The sequence below is a fragment of the Homo sapiens genome, chromosome 18, assembly GCF_000001405.40.
Source record: "Homo sapiens chromosome 18, GRCh38.p14 Primary Assembly".
NCBI classification, from domain to species: domain Eukaryota; kingdom Metazoa; phylum Chordata; class Mammalia; order Primates; family Hominidae; genus Homo; species Homo sapiens.
This window is the reverse complement of record NC_000018.10, coordinates 79,401,326-79,424,120: the sequence shown is the minus strand read 5'-3', so window position 1 is coordinate 79,424,120 and position 22,795 is coordinate 79,401,326. Positions and strand designations below refer to the sequence as shown.

Below are 22,795 nucleotides of genomic sequence, written 5' to 3'. Positions count from 1 at the left end.
CTGCCCCAGGGATGACCCCACAGACCACGTGGTTTTCTTCCACGACCCAAGACAAGGCCTTTCACAAAATCCTGCCCAGCAGGCCGGGGAGTGGAGGGAGGGCTCGGCGGCCCGGGCAACCTTAGGATTTCAGGAGTCAGAGGGGGGCCTGGGACCACTGCTGTCCCACCCTGGAGGGTCACCCAGAGGCCCCGGGCTACTGTCCAATGGGCTGGCTCCCGTCCAACCCTCCCTGAAGCCAAGGCCGCCTGACTCTGAGGCTGCGGGCAGGGCCTCCTCTCCACGTGGGACCCAAGCTCTGTGCCCATGGGAGGGAAGGCGGCCCAGAGGAGGGCACGGGCCTCACAAGCCAGCAGGAAAGATGGAATCGGTGGATGAGAAGCAGGTGACTGGGGCCAGGGTGGGAACAGAAAGATGGGGACACCCAGCCCGGCCCTCCTGCCCGCCGGGTGAGGCTCAGGATGCAGGGGCAGCCCCTGCAGCCATCTGTGCCTTGGCCTCTTGTCCCAGGCAGTCCCAGGTCCAGCCCCTTCCACCAGGACAGTGGTGCAGGCACCAGCGGCCCATGGCCTACCCACAGTTCCCAGGACCGATGTGGCCACGGGCAATGACCCTGGGGCAGGATCTGCTGTCCCCATCTGTCCTCCCCAAGGCTGGGCAAGTGGATCCCGGGTCCGCATGGGAGGGAGCCCAGGACGCCGCCTTTGGGAAGAAGGTGGACAGCCGGGTGCATGGGCAGCCTCCGTCCCCAGACAGGGAGTGCCACAGCTGCGGCCCTGCCAGCCAGGTAAGCCCAGCCCAGGAACTCAAACCAAAGTCAAAGCCACAGACCGGGAGCGCGCGGGATCTGGGCTGTGAGGCCGGAGTGCAGAGGTTTTGTTTTAAAGGACACATTTGGGGATTTCATAAAAACTGATGGCGTCCCGTGGCTCCACCACACGGGATTGGAGTACGACCAGGACACAGACCCTTCCCTGTTCTTTGGAAAAATCGAAGTCATCCCCTCTGTACGCGCCCCAACCCTCCCAGGTCCACCCCTGTATCTCGTGAGCCTCACAACAGCTTTGGACACAGGCCCTGCCATCCCAGGCCCAGCAGCCCCCAACACTGTCCCCACCCCTCTATCTGCCCTGCCCTGCCCCGGATGGGTGAGAAGCTGAGCTCAAGACCCTGAACCCCCGCCCCCGAGGCAGCCCCCAGCCCTCGCCCAGAGCCGACAGCTCCCTGTAGGCCTCCTCCCAAATGTTAACGTGTGGGCCAGAGCACGCTTTCTACAAAGCCCCCGATGTCAGCCTTTCTCCCTCCCAGAAAAACTACAGATGGGAGAAAGCACCTTCCATGGCTCTGAAACATTCCTTGCAGCTCAAGGGTGGGAGAGGGTGCTTGGGAAGCAAAAGGAGCCCGTTGGGAACCCAAGCTCAGTGGGAACCGGGCCTCCCTGTGGGATCTCAGTGCCCCTGGGCAGTGGGAACAGGGCCTCGCTGTGGGATCCCAGCGCCCCAGGCAGCAGGCCCCATGCCGTACACCCTCCCTCTCCCTCACTCCCCTGCCCTCCGGGACAGTAGCTGCTGCAGCCGGGGGCCGCTGCATCTTCTCGTGGCTGGAGAGCAACAGTGTGGTCCGGAGGGCGGGGAAGTGCCCCAGGCCCCCACCACCCCCGTCACCCACTCATCCCCAAGTTCACACCAGGGACAGGTTCCAGTCACTGCACACGCGGACTCTTCTCGGACCCCAAACACCTTCTCAGACGTCTCCAGGGTCAGGGCCCATCTGTCATTATTACTCACAGGAAGTTTTGGCAGTGGGGGGCCTCCGACTGCACTTGCCATGGATGGCTTATAAAACAAAAACCAAAACCAGAAATGTCATATTGCACAAGTTAATGTGGGGTGGGGCACAGATCAGTCATGGAACTGATTCCGTTTCTAGTGGTGCCAAGACGGCCCGGCTCAGCTCTCAGAGTTCACTCAATCTTCTCAGCTTGGACCTACGGGAAACTTGGGGGTTTCACAAGAACTGACGGCATTCTGGATGTTCACTGAAGAGCAGCCTAGGTGATTCACGGGTAATACTTGGAGCTACAACAAATACAGCGGTTTCTCAAATCACCTAAAGGGATCTTTCAAAATAAGGATGTGTTACTCTCCAAAGACTCCTGTCCTGGATGTTGCCAAAACAAAGGATGCTCAGACTCTGACGCCTGGAGCTACAGAGCACCCTTGGCCCTCGGGGTCGGAGAAGACCCAGCACCAAGACGTGCCCAAGCTTCCAGCTTCGCGCTCAGCTGTGATGTCGCCACGGGGACAGGACACAGCCCATGGTGGCGGCACTGCCAAGAGCTGCTGCTTCAGCCCAGTAAACACAGAGTTGCTTCACAGCCCTCTCCTGGTCTCTGTGCCTGCAACGCAGCTTGTGGACAGGGACTCCGCCTTGCAGCTGACTCCTGGAGGCCGCTGGGCCACGTGGACCTCAGAGCCCAAAGTGCTCCAATACCTGCCCCGCACCTGTCCAGAACCGAAACCTGGAGGCTTGACAGCTTCTTACCAGAAGTTTCCACGTGTCTCCATTTCCTCATCCACAAAAAGAGGCTGATCCCTGCTCTCCACCTCCACAGGCCCGACACTGCACTCCCAGACCCCTGGGGTGGCCCTTGCCCGGCACCGCCCCTTGCAGCCAGGGCTCCAGGCGAAAGCAGACGTCATCCAGGCGCTACTGCCCCACGGACGGCCCGGTCTCTGGAAACACACTCGACCTGTCTGCCCGTGGGAGGAGGACGGGCATTTCCTCGTGATTCCAGGTCTGTGCCACATGTCATCTTGGTGTCAGGGAACCCTCGAGTTCTGGGAACAGTGGCCTGTGCAGAGGGAGAGGAGCTGGGGTGCCCCACAAGCCTCAGAACTGCCGTGATGGGGGTCAGAGGGGACAAAGGCACAATACTGATTTTGCACACCAACATCAGAACACGTTCCTGACACACATCACGGCTTCCAGCGTAGAAGTGTGTGTGGGCTCCATGTTTCCAGTGAGAAAACACTCCTCCCATAAACTAGAACCTCTGGCCCTGAGGAGCAGAATCAAGCTGCAGGTGGGTTCGGGGGTTCCTGGAATATGACTCCACGCGGGGCAAAGCAAACATCTAGGTGGCCCTGCTGGAGGGGCCTCCCTCTTCCCCTCTTCAGCGACGTCTCCTGGAAATGCGTCCCACCCTCTTCCTCTCTGCAGCAACGTCGCCTGGAAAAGCATCTTCCTCTTCCTCTCTGCAGCAATGTCACCTGGAAACGCATCCGCCTCTTCCCCTCTGCAGCGACGTCACCTGGAAACGCGTTCCCCTCTTGCCCTCTGCAACGACATCGCCTGGAAACGCGTCCTCCTCTTCCTCTCTGCAGCAACGTCGCCTGGAAACACGTCCTCCTCTTCCTCTCTGCAGCCATGCTGCCTGGAAATGCGACCCCCTCTTCCTCTCTGCAGCGACCTTGCCTGGAAACGCATCCACCTCTTCCCCTCTGCAGCGACGTCTCCCGGAAACGCATCCCCCTCTTCCTGTCTGTAGCGATGTCACCTGGAAACGCATCCCCCTCTTCCTCTTTGCAGTGACCTCGCCTGGAAATGCGTCTGCCTCTTCCTCTCTGCAGCGAAGTCACCTGGAAAGGCGTCCCCCTCTTCCTCTCTGCAGCGAAGTCACCTGGAAAGGCGTCCCCCTCTTCCCCTCTGCAGCGACCTCGCCTGGAAACGCGACCCTCCTTCCTCTCTGCAGCGACGTCACCTGGAAACGTGTCCCCCTCTTCCTCTCTGCAGCGACGTCGCCTGGAAACGCGTCCCCCTCTTCCTCTCTGCAGCGACGTCGCCTGGAAACGTGTCCCCCTCTTCCTCTCTGCAGCGACGTCACCTGGAAACGCGTCCCCCTCTTCCTCTCTGCAGCGACGTCGCCTGGAAACACGTCCCCCTCTTCCCCTCTGCAGCAACCTCGCCTGGAAACACATCTGTCGCACAGCCCAGTGCTGATGGAACGCAGCATGCAGGCCACATGGTCTCACATGGGAAACCTTGGGAGGTGCACACGGCGTCCGGTGTGGCCTTTACAACTACTGTCTCTCCCCAAAGCCGACTAAGCCCTGTGCGTCTAACCCAGCTTCCAGAGATGTTCTAGAAGCACTTATAAAAAAGAAAATCCCATCATAATGTAGAAAACATTTTGCTCAAGAATCCAAAAAACGTTAATTTGCACTTAAGATCTGGTTTTGAATGTGAATAACTGTTGCCCTCCAACTCCCGACTCAGGTTTAATCCCGAGGGAGGAAGTCCCTGCGGCTGCCCGGCTGCCGAAGCACCTACCACCAGGCCCACCTATCCCGCTGCTCAAAAGCCAACGTTGGCGCAGGAGCAAATCCTGTTTTGTCTGTGGTCACCGACGCACATCAGGACCAGACACTTCCTCCCAGCTGGACCACAGGCAGCTTAGGAAATCTCAAAATTGGGAACCTGGGAAGGTTTCCAGCTCCCTGCCGCCCTCACGCTGTCTCCACGGGGGCATCTGAGCTAACCAGGCAGGTTCTGACCCTCCTAGGGGGGCTCCCGGGCAGGCAGGTGCCGGCCCTCCTAGGGGGGCTCCCGGGCAGGCAGGTGCCGGCCCTCCTAGGGGGGCTCCCGGGCAGGCAGGTGCCGGCCCTCCTAGGGGGGCTCCCGGGCAGGTTCTGACCCTCCTAGGGGGCTCCCGGGCAGGTTCTGACCCTCCTAGGGGGGCTCCCGGGCACTCGGTCTTCGGTGAGATGGGGCAACATTTCAGATCTCCATGATCTGACTGTAAAACTCTGGCTCACACCTGCAATGCCAGCACTTTGAGAGGACAGGTCGGGAGGACTGCTTCAGGCCAGGAGTTCCAGATCAGCCCTGGACAACACGGCAAGACTCTGTCTCCACAAAACTTAAACAATTAGCCAGGTGTGGTGCCGCACGTCTGTGGTCCCAGCTACTCGGCAGGCTGAGGTGGGAGGGTCACCTGAGCCCAGGAGGTCGAGGCTGCAGTAAGCTGTGATGACACCCTGCACTCCAGCCTGGACAACAGAGCAAGACCCTGGCTCAAAAAAAAATATCTGAGCAAAAAGCCACGTTGTTTTCTCCTTTCCAGGAACAGAGTGCCTTCTCCTCCTCATGGCTAACAACAGACATGGACAGAGTAACATTGAGAAGGACCAGGGAGAAGATGCCCCAGCCCTTCCACACACGCCTGGGAGAACGCACAGGCCCTCGGCCTCCGCAGCCTCCTCACACCCTCACACCAGTCCTTCCCATCAGAAACTGGTGTTGCAAACCCCGCCCTCCAAGTGTCAGCTGTGAACTCCATAACAGCAGAAACAAACTAAACAACGCAGGCAGAAAACCGTGGGCTGCCAAATGCTACCGAAGCGGCTCAAGAAGGAGCAAATGAGCCAAGACCAGGGTGCTCGTGCAATCAGGAGGCATGATCTTCTCAACTCTGAGCCCCTCACCAGCGGAGGCTGGCAGACGCAGTGCCTTCTCCAGGGAGCTGTGGCTCCAAGGACACCACAGGCTGCGTAAAGCCCCTCGACTGGGCTCTGACCCCAGAAGGCTCCACATCTTGGTGACGAGAGCAGAAGGCCAGTCTGGGCCGAGGGTCCCCGTGACACGTGCCCCCACCCCGTACAGGCCTTGTGACAAGAGGGCTGAGCTCGCCAGGTCTCCTGGGAGTCGGGGTCCCAGCACCGGTGGAGTCTGGAGTGTAGGTTGCGGGGTCTGCTCATCATGGCAGAGTCCAGTTCTGTTGGTTGTGACTAGGCCACCCTGGACAAATGGCCTCAGCTGCGTCCACAGTCGGGTGGCCGTTAAGCGCCTGACTGTGACCCGACAGCTCCCTACCACAGAGCGTCGCAAGGCATGGTGGGGCAGCACGCGGATTCTTCCTGCCATCACACAACGAAACTGCTGGCTCCCCCGACCCCCACAGTCTCCATCAACACCCCGAGCCCTGCAGACCCACAGGAAGGGGAGGAAGAAGGCAGGGTGCTGGGGGCTCCACCCACCCCATGGTGGCAGGGACCAAGGACAGATTCCAACATCGCAATGAAACTTGGTAGGCAGCTCCTGAATAGGACGCATCCACAGCACCACAGAGGACAGGCCCAGCCATAGCCCATCTCCCGCCACAGCCCATCTCCTGGTATAGCCCATCTCCCATCTCCCACCACAGCCCATCTCCCATCTCCCACCACAGCCCATCTCCTGCCCAGCCCATCTCCCATCTCCCACCACAGCCGATCTCCCATCTCCCACCACAGCCCATCTCCCATCTCCCACCACAGCCCATCTCCCACCACAGCCCATCTCCCATCTCCCACCACAGCCCATCTCCCACCACAGCCCATCTCCCATCTCCCACCACAGCCCATCTCCCATCTCCCACCACAGCCCATCTCCTGCCCAGCCCATCTCCCATCTCCCACCACAGCCGATCTCCCATCTCCCACCACAGCCCATCTCCCATCTCCCACCACAGCCCATCTCCCACCACAGCCCATCTCCCATCTCCCACCACAGCCCATCTCCCACCACAGCCCATCTCCCATCTCCCACCACAGCCCATCTCCTGCCCAGCCCATCTCCCATCTCCCACCACAGCCGATCTCCCATCTCCCACCACAGCCCATCTCCCATCTCCCACCACAGCCCATCTCCCATCTCCCACCACAGCCCATCTCCCACCACAGCCCATCTCCCATCTCCCACCACAGCCCATCTCCTGCCCAGCCCATCTCCCATCTCCCACCACAGCCGATCTCCCATCTCCCACCACAGCCCATCTCCCATCTCCCACCACAGCCCATCTCCCACCACAGCCCATCTCCCATCTCCCACCACAGCCCATCTCCCACCACAGCCCATCTCCCATCTCCCACCACAGCCCATCTCCCATCTCCCACCACAGCCCATCTCCCGCCACAGCCCATCTCCCGCCACAGCCCATCTCCCGCCACAGCCCATCTCCCACCATAGCCCATCTCCCATCTCCCACCACAGCTGAGGGCTTCCTGGGGACCGTCTGGCTTGCGCGAGTCACCTGCTGGCCTGCTCAGCCAAACGCAAGCTCCAGAGCCACCACCGCGAATGCCAGGGAGGCACACAGCCACGTTCTTCAAGACCCTTCAGAGCCAGCCCAGCCCAGTACCCACAGGAGGGACTGGAGACTCCCCAGGGCCTGACACCCATGCCGGGAGCCAGGAGGCCAGCTGAGGCTTGTCTAGCTCCAGAAACAGCAGGAAACAGCAGGACAGGTTGTGCGGGGGACTCCCCAGCAAGGGTTAGCGGGAACCAGAGCCAGGGCGACGTGGCTTCGAGGCTGGCTGTGGGTTGTTGGGGGGCTTCCCTCCCCAGAAAGGGAGGGGCTTACAGGGAGACGCAGTGGCAGTCAGTCCTGAGCCGTTCCAGCCCATGCCAGTGTTTTACAAACCATGGGGCAACTCGACACCCTCGGCTTCTTTGCTATCCGTCTTCCCAGGAGGTGATGGCAGCGGGAAGCTCGGGGAAGACCCCACGGCTACCACCTTACACGTCTCGCTATGCTGGGGTTCGGTACAACGCCTTAGAGACTATGTTCACCATCACCCCAAAGGGCCCACCAGCGCCCGCGGACAGTCTGGCTCCAGAGCCCAGAGATGGCCCCACTACAGGACCTGGGAGCTGTCAAAAGCCTGCACTGTTCCCCCAACACTGCCGGGGCCCGAACCCCTCAGGTACCAGAGCCACAAGAGCAAAGGGCATTCAAACGCAGGAGGAATCGCTACTGAGCCTGGCAGAGGACTCGTGTCTGCGAAAGAGAAGACAGAGTCCACCTGTTACTGTGCTGGGGGTTAGCTGATCTTATTCCAAATTGTGATAAACTGTGAAACTTTCAGATAACTTATGAAACACAAGAGAGTGAACGTTTTCTCAGACCTTTTGAAACTAATACTATGCATAGCAGAAAAGTGACCGATATGCTAAAATCTTCAATATTGCAGCCCAAAACTTAATGTCTGAAATAAACAGGGTTTTTTTGTTTGTTTGGAGACGGAGTCTCGCTCCTCTCGCCCAGGCTGGAGTGCAGTGGCACGACCTCAGCTCACTGCAACCTCCGCCTCCTGGGTTCAAATGATTCGCCTGCCTCAGCCTTCTGAGTAGCTGGGATTACAGGCGCCCGCCACCATGCCCAGCTAATTTGTGTACTTTTAATAGAGATGGGGTTTCGCCAATTTGGCCAGGCTGGTCTTGAACTCCTGACCTCAGCTGATCCACCTGCCTCGGCCTCCCAAAGTGCTGGGATTACAGGCGTGAGCCACTGCGCCTGGCCAAGAGATTTGAATATACGTTATTGCACCAACCTAGCGGCTATTTCTGATCATTGAAACCAAGCGGACTCTAAGTAAACATTGTTTATTAGCCTATCTCGCCCCTTAGGAATTCTTTTTCTTTACCTCACTCCTTAGAAATTCTTTTTAAACATTCAGTTCTAAGAGGCAATGTTTCATGTGTAGAAATTGAATTCAAGGGCTGGGCGCGGTGGCTCATGCCTGTAATCCCAGCACTTTGGGAGGCCGAGGCGGGTGGATCACGAGGTCAGGAGATCGAGACCATCCTGGCTAACATGGTGAAACCCCATCTCTACTAAAAATACAAAAAAATAGCCGGGCGCGGTGGTGGGCGCCTGTAGGCCCAGCTACTTGGGAGGCTGAGTCAGGAGAATGGCGTGAACCCAGGAGGCAAAGCTTGCAGTGAGCCGAGATTGTGCCACTGCACTCCAGTCTGGGTGACAGAGCGAGACTCCATCTCAAAAAAAATAAATAAATAAAATAAAAAGAAATTGAATTCAAGAATTGTGCTGTTAAAGTTACCAATAAATTCAGTCAAAATACCTCCGCCTTTCCAATTCCCCTACAACCTTGCCTCTACAAAGGCAACTCCAGAGACTGTCTGGGTGCGGAGAGTGAGACACGTGGAGACTCTGACAGGGACACTTTCCAGAGGCTGATGCCCAAAGAGCAGATGTCGGCACAGACAGACCTGGACATGGACGCACATGGCCTGTGGCAGGTGCCCAGGTGGAGGAGGCCGAACGATGAAGGAATGAGGAAGCAATCACGTAGACTTTAGTTCCTGTCGGTCAATATGAAATCTTTAAAAGCTACCATTTGAGAACCACTATTTATAAATAACCCGCACAGCCTTCAACGTGCACTCTCGCCCTGGCCTCCTCCAGACGCAGCCCGGCAACGCCTCCTGTTGCACCCTCAACAGCACACGGAAAGGTGCCCTGGGAGGCCACTTGCTATGATCACCGTCATTACCCCTGGAAAGAAGCAAGGCGGGAAGAAAACCACTCCTTTCTGATGCCAGAATTCACAGCTTAAGATTCTAATTTTTAGGGGGTATAGCAGGTGGCCTGTGATTCCTGTGCCAGTCCCCCCAAGCTTTGACAATAGACACATCATTCCGCTGAGCTCTAAAATGGCTCCAAACTCTAAAACTATCAAGGTTCTATCACCTACTCTTACTAACTTCACAAACATTATCATGGCTTCAATTGCAGCAAGAATTCAGTATCGTTCTTTGACCATTGTGGGCCTCTCAGAGGCTCTGCATAGCACTGGGGGCCACAGGTGCTGAACAAGCAACAAAAGGCCTCAAAGGACAACAATCCTAGACGGTCCCTGGGAAGGATGCACACAGCACACTTTCCACCAGAAAGCTCCTTCTGGCATAGGGACAGGATTAATGGAGCAGCAGTTCTGTACCACGGTGGGGAGAAGATGGGCATGTCGTGCATTCTCCATCCCAAACTTTGGAGATCATTAAAAATACAGCTTTCTAGTTGTGCAGCCTGAGATCCTGGTGACATTTTCCACGCCTGCCAGAGCTGCTGCATGTGACCGACGGAGAGGCATTCCTGGGGAAGGAAGTCTGGCCTCTCCACCTCGCTGGTAAAAAACTAACATTTCATCTCTGCCGTGGCTTCCAGCTGCCCCAGGGCACCCGCTGACGAGGTCACTTGGAAACAGGGCACAAGGAACCAGGAAACATATTTTGATGTGGAACCAGAACAGTGGGAAAAGGTTAACTGCAAACCCCAGGAGCGAGTTTGGGACATATTTACTGAGCTTTGTTTGTGTGAACACTCAGAAATGTTACAGGCATCACACCTAACTGGGCGCTCTGCAGCCAGGAGATAAAGCTAACAGGGTCACGTGGGCACGGAATTCTTCCTGAAACCCCCAAGCAGAGGAAAAAATAAACAGCCACCCATGCTTTCCAACCTCCACACCAAACACAGGTCCAAGGTGGACAGGAGGGGCTGTGCCTGCCAGAACACGACATCCCTGCGGACACCTTGCCGCCCAGGAGACGAAGAAGGAACCAGGACGAGCTTGCGCTTTCAAAGGCTGCCTGCCATTTTTACTGCGACAGTAAGACCGGGGCTGAGGCAGCCGAACGGTGCTCCCCGCAAACTCACATAATGGAGTCCTGCCCAGCGTGGGGCTGTGTCTGGAGAGAGGGTCTTTACAGAGCGATCAAGTTCAAATGAGGCCACCAGGGTGGCCCCAACCCAGCAGGACCAGTGTCCTCACAAAAGGGGACATCTGGACACAGACATGCACGGTGGATGGAGAGATGAGGAGTCATGGGGAGAAGACGGCGCCTCCAAGCCAGGGAGACAGGTCAGGCAGATGCTCCCTCACAGCCTCCAAAAGAACAGCCCCTGATCTCGGCTTCCAGTCTCAGGACCCCGCGAGAAAACCTTCCTGCTATGAAGGCCACCCGTCTGCGGGACCTTGTCAGGGCAGCCCCAGGAAACAAATACGTGGGGTTCACCCAAAGGTTCACAACTGCATTACGACACTCCTCATGCCAAGTCCCAGTCTTGGGACCTTGATGACATCACTCTTCCCTTATCTCGCCAGTTCAGTGAAGTTCCGCGGTGATGGACGACTTTGTCACCGTCCGTAAGCCTGGAGACCATGAAGCGCGTTGTACATGACTGTGGGCTGGAGAGTCAGTGCCACTACGCTTGTACTTTTACTTAAACAATAACAGTGATAGTACAGCAGGCAAAAACAGTTCTTAAATTTTCCCAATGCCTCCAACTGAATGGGATTTTTATTGTAAATACAATCCGGGTCCTGACACAGGCTCGTTGTGATCACCTAGAATACGCCAGCCTTTTAAACCTTAATGTATTAAAAACAGAAGTTGGGATAGAAAGGTAAATGCGCCCACTGCAAGTCAAGAAAAATCAGGGGTAATCCTTGCTTTCTCTCGAAACCTCAGCTGACGACGATTCTAAGTATCACGCCAGTAGAAAGGCAGAATCAGCCATGGGGCTGCTCAAAGAACTGTCAGCTCTAACACTGTTTCTTTGCCACAAGCCTTCAGAGAGGTTTGGGTGGGTTCGTTCCCAGCCTGGAGGCTTGTTACTGCTTGTAGCTCTAATTCTGTCCATGCGTGCTCCAGCCATGGCTGAAGCATGGCCTGAGACTGCAGAGCAGAGACGGGTCCTCCCAGAGCACCCTCACTGCCTGCCTTCCTCACCCTGCAGGCATGGGGGCTGCACCTGCCCTCCGCTCTGCGGGGTCTCGCCCCCTGAGTGCTCGCTAATAAAAAAGGAGTGGGGGGTGGGGAGGGACGAAAAAAAAAAAAAAACAAAAACAGGAAAACACCCAGCCTGGAATACCCCGGGCTGCGCGTGGCAAACGCCTCTTCCTGAGGACACAGCGGCAGCCCTGACGTCACGGGCCATGGGGCACTGCCCTCGACCTCCTGCACGGACGTTTTCATGCCTCAGATAAAAATCCCAGAGCAGAAAGCACTCTCAGGGGCCACTCACAGCCCACCAGCTGGGAAAGCTGTTTCGTTAGAGATAAAAACACCAAGCTGGTTAAGTGGACCCAGCGGAATTCCAGCAGCCCCTCACACGGTTAAAAAGAAAAACCAACAACCTGGGACCCAAAGAAGGAAGGCGCGTGAGCTCCCCCAGCCTGATGCCACAGCCGGCGTCTCTGGGGAGCAGGAGGCCGTGCTGTTCCAAAGCGTGGCGGACTGGGTGCTCTGGGGCACTGTTGAGCTGCGGTCCCATCTGCACCCGAGGCAGGGAAGGCAATTACTGCAGGGGAGGAAGCGGGAGCAGCAGGCAACCACCGAGGGGGGCCAGGCACGTGCAATTCCCCGAGGAAGAAACTGCGCGTGTGTGAGCCCTCCTTAGGGGCGGATGGCGTCTCCCGGAATTCCCACGTGGAAGCCCTGACCGCCAGCAGGGCCACCCTCTTTGAAATGGGTGTTTGCAGAGACTGAGCGAACACGAGGCCATCAGCAGGGCCCGAGAGGATCTGGAGACTTCAGATGGGAAACGCGCAGACGGAGGCAGAGGCGAGGCGCACAAGGAAAAGTCTGCATGAGGAGGCAGACATGGGGACAGACTCTGCCTCCCAGCTCCACGAGGAGCCCACCTGCCCACCCAGGTCCTGACTCTCGTCCCCAGACACGGCCGCCCCGCGCCGCCCCCCGTCCCGCTCCCCGCGTTCCGCCCCGCCCCGCGCCTCCCCTCGCCTCCCCGTCCCGCCCCGCGCTGCCGGCTCACCTCATGTAGGACGTAGGGGACAGGGGCTTGGGCTTCGCCCACTGGTAGGGGTGCTGCGGCACCGCCAGGTACTGGTCGCAGAAGCCGCCCTTCCTGATGTGCTGGAAAGAGGAGTAGTCTTCGGGCGCGAAGTCGGCCGGGGGCGGGGGGCTGCCCAGGTCCTCCCCGACGGGCTCCACCTTGAGCGCCACTGAGGGCGGCTGCTCCAGGGTGGTCTTGCGGGACTTGACAGGGACGCCATCTCCCAGGTCCAGGCTGCTGTCGGTGGTCAGCGCGTTGATGGCGGCCACGATGGCCGAGCTGGTGTACTGGGTGGTGTTGCCCAACCACGAGTCGTCGGTCACGCTGACCCGCGGGGAGCCGTGCGGGGACGGCGTGGGCGAGTGGTGGGGTGAGTAGGGCGGCTGCCGGCCGTTGAGGCTGTACTTCCTCTTGTTGCAAGGGGACGCGGGTCTGGAGGAGCGGGCACCCAGCCAGCTCTCCTCAGTGACGCTGGCGCGGGGCGAGGTGGAGGGGGAGTGCCGCGGGGAACCCAGCAGTGTGCAGGCCCCCAGCCCGCGGGGAAAGCCCTCCTCGGGGTCCGTGGTCTTGGGAGACACGCAGGGAGACTGCCATGGCGACGTCTGGGGGGACGCGTACGGGTACGAGTAGTTGGACTCGTAGGAGGAGGCCTCTGAGTTGCAGCTCCGGGAGGACAGGCTGCTGGCCGGGCTCAGGCACGAGGGGTCTCTGTAGGCCTCCAGGCTGGGCAGACTCAGCGTGGCCGTGGAGGGGGACCGTTTGGAGCTAGGGAGGACGTCTTCCACCTCCACATCGTGGAAAAACTGGTTATTGTTGTGGTACAGGCCCAAGCACGAGGTTATCTCGATGCGAGGACTCTCCAGGGCAGGGGCCCCATCAGGCCTGGTGTGGCCGGAGGAGAGGAAGTAGCCCGCGGGCCCACCGTCCAAAGCTGCTCCGTACCCCGAGGGGTGATCCGCCGGCGGGATGATGCCCGGTGTGGAGGTCTGAAGGTTGTGGCACGGGGCCGGCAGGGTGGAGTGCGCCGTGGGGAGCGGCAGGGCGGGGCTGACGTTGGAGGATGCATAGCCATAGTGTTCTAGAGAGAAAAAGAAGCAGATGGGAGCATGAGGGGCTGGGCATCACAAAGCAGAAACCCATGAACTCAGGGCCGGCCAGCAACCCCCGGCCTCGACCAACGGACCCCAAGGAGCGGGCCTCAGCAAACGTCCCTGAGACCACGCTGCCGGACAGCTCCGGGCGACTTGGAGTGACAGCCCCAGTCCCACCTGGCCAACAAGGCTCCCGTGAGCCCCTCACTGCCCACCTCCCCTCCTCCCCTAACAGCAGCACAAGCCCCCGAACGTCCTTCCCAGGGAGAGGCGGCCGGGTCCTCACGGGTTCCGCTCTTCATTCAAAAACCACCTTCCCCAACCACCCCATCTTCATCCGAACGTCCTTCCCAGAGAGAGGCGACTGGGTCCTCACGGGTTCCGCTCTTCATTCAAAAACCACCTTCCTCAACCACCCCATCTTCATTTAAACCCCAAACTCAACACGTGGGCCATCCTTCTCTAGTTTATTTTTTCTCCTAAATACGTATCACAATCTAACAGCCTGTTTTTACTCATTCATCCCACACTGTCATCTCTTTGACAAACAGAAACCTAAGTTCCATGAAGACAGAACATCTGGACGCCTTAGTCTATTCTGCTCACCGCTGTTTTCAGAGCCAAAGACTGTGCCTGGCACATAAAATGTGTTCAATTTGTTTAATGGATGGATGGTTGGTGGGTGGGTGGACAATGGATGATGGATAGACAGGTAAAGAAACTGATGGATGGATCATGATGGACGGGGGGTGAAGGGATGATGGGTAGATGGAGAGTAGGTAGATGGATGGTGATGGACAAACAAGGGAGGAATGAGGGATAAAGAGATGGATTATGGGTGGGTGGATGAATGGATGGATGATGGATGGATGGACAGCTAAACGGATGGATGGATGAATGATGCATTGGGGATGGAGGCATGATAGGTAAATGGTGGATGAATGGATGGATAGATAAATGGATGGTGATGGATGGATGGATGGACGAGGAATGGAGGAATAATGGATGGATGATGGATGGATGGATGAATGATGATGGATGGATGGATGGATGGATGAATGAATGGATAGGGAATGGAGGAATGGATGGATGATGGATAGATAATGATGGATGGATGATAGATGGATGGATAGGGAATGGAGGAATAATGGATGGATGATGGATGATGGATGAATGGATGGATAGGGAATGGAGGAACAATGGTTTGATGATGGATGGATGATGATGGATAGATGGATGACGGATGGATGGATAGGGAATGGAGGAATAATGGTTTGATGGATGGATGGATGATGATGGATGGATGGATGATGAATGAATGGATAGGGAATGGAGGAATAATGGATGGATGATGATGGATGGATGATGGATGGACGGATGGATAGGGAATGGAGGAATAATGGTTTGATGATGGATGGATGATGATGGATGGATGGATGATGAATGAATGGATAGGGAATGGAGGAATAATGGATGGATGATGATGGATGGATGATGGATGGATGGATAGGGAATGGAGGAATAATGGTTTGATGATGGATGGATGGATGATGGATGGATGGATGATGAATGAATGGATAGGGAATGGAGGAATAATGGACAGATGATGATGCATGGATGCATAGGGAATGGAGGAGTAATGGTTTGATGATGGATGGATGATGATGGATGGTGGATGTGTTTTAGATCTAAGGACCTACATATGTAAACAGATTTTAACAGGCTTATCACTGTCAAGGTGCCCTAATCACCAGCTACAAAGAAAACTCCTCAAGGATTGGATGAAAACACAGACTGTGAAATCCCCCTCATGGAGATTCTGATACTGGCTCATATCCTACGAATCCATCTTTTAGAACAAAACAGAAGATTCTGGTACACAGCTAGTCCTAAGAATCATTATGTGTTAATTACACTCAATAAAATATTTTTTAAAATCATTATTAGGGAAATCAGTAATTTTAACAGGAAAGACGTGCCTCTGGATTTCTGATTTGAAAAGACTTTTTATGACATCTTGGAACCTCATGATTACATGCCTAGAGGTGGGTATTCCCAGGCCTCTAAATAATACAAACAAGCACATGGAAATTCTATATTCATCTCCTGGTGCAACTGCACTGGCTGGAAGATACTTTATTCAAGGACAGTGCTGTCTTTCCGCTAAGTCGTGGTTCAGAAACCAACACGGATAAATGCCAAAAAAATCTAGGGTCTCAAAATACCAATACAAACCCACTGTATTTACTAACAGAAATGGTTCTAGCGCCCCAGGTAGGTGGGAAACACGGCACGGCAGCCTGGTAAGAGGACACACCGTGGCCTCAATCCCAGGAGTCACAGCTGCTTTCTGGAAATTCCAGACACTCAGGGGGCAGAGCCATAACAAAGAGAAAAGAAACAGAGCTGCGATGGAGCCACACCTCACAGGTGCGACCAGAAGCTCTCAGGGGTGGGAGGTGAGACCTGCTCAGGATGTCTTCGTATGGGAAGGGCCCCTCCGCTGAGGCTGAGCGCCTTGGGGATGGTGCTAGCCAGGCCCCAGTCCCGCCTTCCCCATCGTAAAGAAATGCCCTCAAGAGGACGGGAGCCACGCAGTCTCCTGCACCGGAGAGAGAACAGTAATGTCAATAAATCAAGGAGGTGGCCAGGCGCGGTGGCTCACGCCTATAATCCCAGCACTTTGGGAGGCCGAGGTGGGCGGATCATCTGAGGTCAGAAGTTCAAGACCAATCTGGGCAACATGATGAAACCCTATCTCTACAAAAAATACAAGTAGCCAGGCATGGTGGCGCACGCCTGTAGTCCCAGCTACTTGGGAGGCTGAGGCAGCAGGATTGCTTGAGCCCAGGAGGCAGAGGTTGCAGTGAGCTGAGATCACTCCAGCCTGCACTCCAGCCTGGGCGACACAGCAAGACCCTGTCAAATCAATAAATCAATAAATCAATAAGGAGGTCTTTCTTTCCCCAGAGCCACAGGCAGGGACTGGGGTGGAGCTGGAGCTGGGCATCCTGACGCCAATTCCAGCCTCCAGCCTGGCCTCTGGTCAGGACACACACACCATCCCCAGGATCTGCCCCAGCTGCAAGACGCCAGCTCTGGGACTGACCACCCATGTTCACTGGCATCCACTGTGCCCCCCGCCCCCAGGCTCCATGCTCACTGGATGCTTCAGGCAAACACCAGGCCCCAACGCTAAAACTTCTGTGACCAACTTTCTAAAAATGAGCCTGGAAAGCAGCTTCCGGGAGAAGGTGAGGTTTCCGAGGAGAATCTGAAGTCCTCTGATCTGCTGGTGATACCTGGGGGGCTCTGGGCCAGGCAAACTGTAGCCCTCTGAGAGCTCCGCCTGGGCGTCACGGTGGCCCCTCCGTGGCCCGTGCAAAGCCCCTGAGCCGGCTGCATCAGACCCGCTGGACAACAGGCCACACAGGCAGGTCGCCCTGTGCCCCACGCCCCACACGCCTGGGTGACCGTGCCAGGCCAGCCCTGACGTCTGCCCCGCATGGAGCGCTGCGGAAGACCCGCGGAGCCGTGGCTGGCTCTGCGGCTGGGGGTCTCGGGGGAAGCACAGGGACGCAGTCCAACGGTGGACAGAAGGAAGGCGCGGTGGGGGACCCACGAGGGGGTTTTGTCGAGCGCAGGCCTGCGGCTCCTGGGGGGTTCCCGTTGAGGTGCCACGCCGAGCCACCTGTTCATTACTCTGCATTCTCACCAAAAGTTGTCCAAAAGATATTCCTTAGCCAAAAACGCCACATTACATACACCGGCCCAGGAACTCACACCCACACTTACTGCTGGGCCCGCTTATTTGTCTAGAAGCCCTCTCGCCTGTTGGAGCAGAAACAACATTATGTTAGGAACCAGCTTCCATCTCACACCAGTCATCAACTCCAGGAGACCCGAAAGCACAGCAGCGGAACTGAGGGAACACGATGGCAGCGTGGATCCGATCACGGGGGCCCAGCCTCCCTCCCACACCCCGACTTCCTCTCGGAGGCATCCGTGGCCTTCAACCGGCTCTTCAGGCCCCACCTGCTCCACACACTTCCCCTCACTGTCCAGACCTCAAAGGGGGCTTAACTGCAATTGATTCATGTACAGATTCCTACACTTCCTGTTTCCCAATCAAAAGAGTATTTATTTCCAAGACAGCTGATCCCACAGCTGAACTACCATTTGCTGGTAGAAAGGTAATTCTGAAGAATTTTTTAAAACCCTAGCAATTAACAGAGCAAGTCTTGGGGCCTCCCCACCATCCTCCCACAGGACTCAGCCCTGAACTGGCTGCTCAGCCAGTGACGGAGCCCAGAGCTGCGCCACACGGGGTACTAGAGCCAGATCACCGGAAGGTTCTAGATGAAACGGGGCAGGAAAGGGGAGGCGGACCTCACAGGTCTCTGTGTGCAAGTCCTCAGGGGCCGTAGCCCTTGACGTTTCTGTGACGGGGGCCCAGGCGTGAGGGGAAGTGAGGAAGAGGAGGAGACTCCGCCCACAGCGAGAGCAGGAAGTGCATGCAGAGGCCCACGGACGCCTGGGGCACCCGAGGGCCTTTATTTAAACTGAAGTATTGCAATAAAACCTGATTCGATGAGGCAAAGAAACACCATAAAGCTTTATTAAAAAACAAAAAGGGCTCACCTAAGCATGCGTTTTCCCTGATCAAACAAATGACAAAACGAAAGCTCAAATGCTTGAATTTCATTAGGATCCCTCGCCCAGGTCCTTGGAGGGCGGGTAGTGGATAAAGTTCCCTTGTTCCTCCTAGAAGAAGGGCAAGGTGTGGGGTCAAGCTGCCCCCAGAGGCCAAGCCCCACACGCCGGGGGCCACTGTCCTGGCTGTGAGCCCCTCCCTCCCAGCTCCCAATGAATTTGGTTTCATGACCCACCTAAACCGTATTCAAATCTGAGTTATTTAACTATTCAAAGGGATCATATTTACATGAAGGGAAAATATTCCCAGTAACTTTCTTGACGATTCTGAGGCGCTTGGGCTGATTCATGTCACGTCAGACACCACCACAGAGCTCGGTGACCCCACTCCCTGGCTGCCGTGTCGGAGGGCCTGGCTCTTTGCCAAGGAGGATTCACTAAATGACAGTGCAGGTGAGCAGGGAGACAGCTGGATTCTAAGCAATGATCGCGGAGAGCACATTCAAAATCCCTTAACGGAAGGTCATGGCATGGCCCCTCTGCTGAAAGTGCCACCTCCTCACTTTTGAGTCCCCTGATCCTCACCGGCTCGCTCAGCCATCAGGTGCCCCACGACACACAGGTGGTTTGGGGGTGCTAGGACAGACGGCCACGCGGGGAGCACCCGGCTCTCAGGCCAGCCTAGTCCCACTGGCCTCAGCAAGTTCCACATGTCAGAGCTGTTAAAAGCGATCTCTCTCACTCTGAGAAATAATTCACTTCAGAACCACACACCTTTCTCGTTTCTGAACAACCACAAAAAACTGTATCGGTGCCTGACATTAAATTAATACATGAAATACTTCTGGTCAGGGCTCCCTACAGGTGCACAGCATTCTAACCTTGCAGACCCCGCCGTGCTGAGCCCCAGGGCACCTGCCCCTCACGACACGCAGTTCCCAGACAGCCACTCCCTCACTCGCTGTGCGCAGGGCAGGACAGCCACGCCTCTGCCTTGCGCATCAGGCCAGCACTGCTGACAAGAATCACCAACTCCAGCCACAGCCAGATCTCTCATCTTTCACAAACTCTGAGAGGCGGCCATCACAGACGACGTTATTTTTCATTTTAAGGAACATTCCCTTCAGCACTTGCTGGGGCTGAACCACAGGTCGACCCCCAGGCACTGCTGTCACCTCTCCAGACAGCCACGGAGTCTGCTGTGGGTGAGGCCAGATGACAACTGTGAATGTATTGGAAATAAAACAAAACGAAGCAGGGCGATCCACGCCAAGACCTTGCTGTTGGAAGCAATGTGCTTAGCAGGCCTGGGAAACGCTGCCTCACAGTGGCACCGGGACGTGGTCAGGCCCGCGGCATGACAGACAGCAACAGCTTCCCAGACGCCGTTCCCCCAACAATCTGCCAGCGAGAAAGATTTACAAAGGCAAATAGGATGGCCTCGTCACAGCGCAAACAAACGGTATTTAATGTTCCATAAATAAGCACGCCAACGCCTTAATAAGGGTCCTTCGTCCAGCCCGGGGCCCAACCTGGGACATCGTTCCTCAGAGGTACTGGAATATTCCCCCTGGTCCGACGCACACATCATTTTAAAGCATCCTTTTTGAATTCTGTTTTCAAGGAATTAAAAAATATCCAAGTTGTTCATGGCTAGCTGAGATCTTCCTTTGAAAAACACGACACAGAACTGAAATATTCCAATCTGCCAGGTAACTCCACCCTCCACGGAAACACCTCTAGAACGTCAGGGGATGAGCTGTGCATGGTAATAGCAGGAACGCTTTCCTAAAACACTGAACTTGAACAACAGAGCATTCCTAATTCAGCTCTCCCCTGGGACCTCTCTGCTCACCAGGCGTCTCTGCCACGGGTTTCCTGCCACAGCCCCCGACCAGCCACGGACACCCCGGGCCCTCTTGGGGAAGAGAAATCCTATTTGGTGAAAATGGACTTGAGAATAAAAGTCTTCCAAAGCTTCAATTCTGCATAAGATGTTGCCTTTCCACAAGGGAACCATTAAATGCCCCAGCAGTGGGCACAGGCCAGTGGCAGACCCGGGCACACAGAGGTTCGGAGGGTGGCCCCGACTGCCAGAGAGGCTCCAGCCCAAACACAGAGGCCTTGGCCAATTTCCTCTGAGTTGCCACGGCGACAGTGCTGGCAGCAGCCAAGCTGGCCAAAATAACTTAGAAAACAGGAGCCCTGGGGCGGGAAGCAGGGCACGCCCGCCTCCCAGCTGACAGCGAAGCAGCTATTTCCTGAGCCCCAGAAGGGAGCGGGACCTCCTCTCTGCAGAGGGAAGCCCGGGGCCTGCTCCTGGGTGGACACAGCCAGAAGCCAGACCCTGGAAGCCCAAACGCCACTCCCATCCCGCCTGGGAAATTATTTACAATATTCTCTTTTCATTGTCCCAACAAATGGTTACTGAATATCTATTCTTTGCACCTGCTGAGCACTTTCGAAATAAAGAACAAGACACAGCCCCTCCCTCAAAGCACCCCGTGAAGACGCGGGACCTGTGCCCGCAGCCTGGACCTAAGTCCAGCGAGATGGAAGGGGTGGGGGCCACAGCGGCGTGGGCCAGGCTCCTGGCCACAGTCAGCCACCCTGCGGCTGCAGCCCCCAACCCCGGTACACTGACCTCAGCTCTGCCAGGACGTACAGCCCCTTCTCAGGGGATCCGGCTGACAGACTGCCTCCTGGGCTCAGGGCCGGCCACGTCCTTTACAACAAAGCTTGACTTTCTGTGCTTAGTCTAATCTATAAAACCCAGTTTGCCTTGCTTTGCAATTGATCTCAGACTTATTCATGTATTCATTTATATCCAGGTTCATCCCAGAAACAACGTGAAGTAGTTTCTATCACCCGTCAAAAGCTGGAGAGTCAATGTAATCATTTAACAATGTGATATAAATAATTAACACCATTGAATCATCATCAAAATGCAGTAATAATGGTAATAAAAAGAAAGGAGAAAACAGCACGGTGTCTCACGGGAAAACACAATATGTACACGTAACATATGAGATACATAAAGAACCCTTCCTAGCAACTTCTTGACACCGTAAAAGCAGGAAGGGGCTCTTCTCAGCTCTCGCCTCTCCTGCTCGGAGCCCCAACTCCTAAAGCCCAAAACCACGGTGGTCTCTGGAGGGGCAAGGACACAGCAGAAAGCTTTCACAAGCCGCCTGGAGAGCCAGCAGCCCAGCTCTGCGGGGCTCCCGGGGAAGGGCGCAGCTCCGGAGGGCCCAGGGTGCCTGCGAGGGTGAGGTTCACGGCTTCACTCATTCTGCTCAAGGAGTGTTTTGGGGGAATGAGCCCGGTGGGTGCCGGGGAGGACTGTGTCCTGAACCCACCTGGAAGGCGGCCACCTGCTTCTGGGTCAGGAGAGACCCCATGTTCACCAGGGTCCCCATATCCGATGCCAGCAGGAAGCCCGCCCACCTCAAAATGGTGTATAAACTGTGGCGTCCTTGTGAGACTAGGCCTCGAGGGGCAGAGACTGGCCTCCTGTGCGTCTTCCCGGATAAGCCTGGAGTTACCTGTGCAGTCACAGGAGGATGCCGCCGCCGGCGGTGTCCTTCCCGAGGCTGCTGTCGCGCACAGTCACGTGTGCACGGAGGCACGGAAGTGGCCCTTGTCACTGGGGGTGCGCTGACCACGTGCCAAGCCAGACACAGTGCCCAGTGTGGCACAGCCCACCCTGGAGGCCTGGGAGGCCGGGGAGACCCAGCTCCATGGGGATAACTACCCCCTGTGCTTCTTCAAGGAGGCAAAGCAGTGAAATCTTCAGCCAGGGCCGAGGGCCCAGGGCCGTACACTGTCCTGCAGGCCCCCTGGGCCTCTGACTGGGGTGTAGGGCCTGGGTTCTGGCAGCACTGGGCCTGTCGCAGGCCCACAGTCAGTGATTCACGCTGTGAACGACCGGGGGTGTACTGGGAGGTCCCACCCGACCCCCGATGACTGCACGGGTGTGGGAGCCTCCACCCCAACAGATCCCAGAGGGGCCACCCTGGTGGCCACACTCTCATGGGACCGACTTTCACCCCATAAAGAGAGGTCGGGAGTGGGGCGACACTCTCGCATGGCACACCCAGGTAGAAAACTCTTCTGCTGAAATGTCCTGGCTCAAGCCGGGGAGGACTGGAACCAGCTCTGGAAGGCGGCGCCAGGGCCACAGGCAGCCCGGGTGGGAAGGGCCTCCGGCGGGTCTCTCTCCCACCCTCATCTGCCTTGGCTCCCACTGACCCCAAAGACCTAGAACCCAGGCCCAGGCAGGGAAGACATTTGGGGAGTGGTGAGTCGAGAACCGCAGGCAGCACAGGTTTGGTTGGAGCGCTTATTTTCAAAAAATGATCAAGACGTTGGAGTTTTTAAAAGAGAGTAGTGAACGATACGGAAAATATGA

The 22,795-nt window shown here is 56.5% G+C and overlaps 2 protein-coding genes across 13 annotated transcripts in view, besides 5 other annotated features; both read right to left on the bottom strand.

Moving 5' to 3' along the window:
- Positions 1-22,795, bottom strand: part of NFATC1 (nuclear factor of activated T cells 1) — a 133,394-nt gene that overhangs the window by 105,203 nt on the left and 5,396 nt on the right. For 10 of the 12 annotated variants that reach the window (NM_001278669.2, NM_006162.5, NM_001278670.2 and 7 more), the window contains exon 2: positions 12,620-13,718. The exons of the other annotated variants lie outside the window; for them this stretch is intronic. In NM_001278669.2, the coding sequence (NP_001265598.1) occupies positions 12,620-13,718 (1,099 nt within the window). The remainder of the gene's footprint in view (positions 1-12,619; positions 13,719-22,795) is intronic. 12 annotated transcript variants of the gene reach the window in all.
- Positions 1,218-4,872, bottom strand: LOC124904333 (octapeptide-repeat protein T2). The gene has a single exon (XM_047437989.1). It carries the CDS (start codon positions 3,978-3,980, stop codon positions 3,075-3,077), a length of 906 nt encoding a protein of 301 aa, XP_047293945.1. The 5' UTR covers positions 3,981-4,872; the 3' UTR covers positions 1,218-3,074.
- Positions 12,441-12,956: an enhancer, noted in NCBI's record as "H3K27ac-H3K4me1 hESC enhancer chr18:77171165-77171680 (GRCh37/hg19 assembly coordinates)". NCBI's record gives its function as "activates a minimal SCP1, AML or CMV promoter by ChIP-STARR-seq in naive H9 embryonic stem cells {active_cell/tissue: H9 hESC(naive)}" and the evidence as "EXISTENCE:reporter gene assay evidence [ECO:0000049][PMID:30033119]".
- Positions 16,540-16,701: a silencer, noted in NCBI's record as "fragment chr18:77167420-77167581 (GRCh37/hg19 assembly coordinates)". NCBI's record gives its function as "represses an EF-1alpha promoter that drives an FKBP-Casp9 reporter gene in an ReSE screen in phorbol 12-myristate 13-acetate-treated (for megakaryocytic differentiation) K562 erythroleukemia cells {active_cell/tissue: K562(+PMA)}" and the evidence as "EXISTENCE:reporter gene assay evidence [ECO:0000049][PMID:32094911]".
- Positions 16,724-17,317: an enhancer, noted in NCBI's record as "H3K27ac hESC enhancer chr18:77166804-77167397 (GRCh37/hg19 assembly coordinates)". NCBI's record gives its function as "activates a minimal SCP1, AML or CMV promoter by ChIP-STARR-seq in primed H9 embryonic stem cells {active_cell/tissue: H9 hESC(primed)}" and the evidence as "EXISTENCE:reporter gene assay evidence [ECO:0000049][PMID:30033119]".
- Positions 18,508-19,103: an enhancer, noted in NCBI's record as "H3K4me1 hESC enhancer chr18:77165018-77165613 (GRCh37/hg19 assembly coordinates)". NCBI's record gives its function as "activates a minimal SCP1, AML or CMV promoter by ChIP-STARR-seq in naive H9 embryonic stem cells {active_cell/tissue: H9 hESC(naive)}" and the evidence as "EXISTENCE:reporter gene assay evidence [ECO:0000049][PMID:30033119]".
- Positions 19,225-19,284: an enhancer, noted in NCBI's record as "active region_13539". NCBI's record gives its function as "activates an Ori minimal core promoter by ATAC-STARR-seq in GM12878 lymphoblastoid cells {active_cell/tissue: GM12878}" and the evidence as "EXISTENCE:reporter gene assay evidence [ECO:0000049][PMID:35858748]".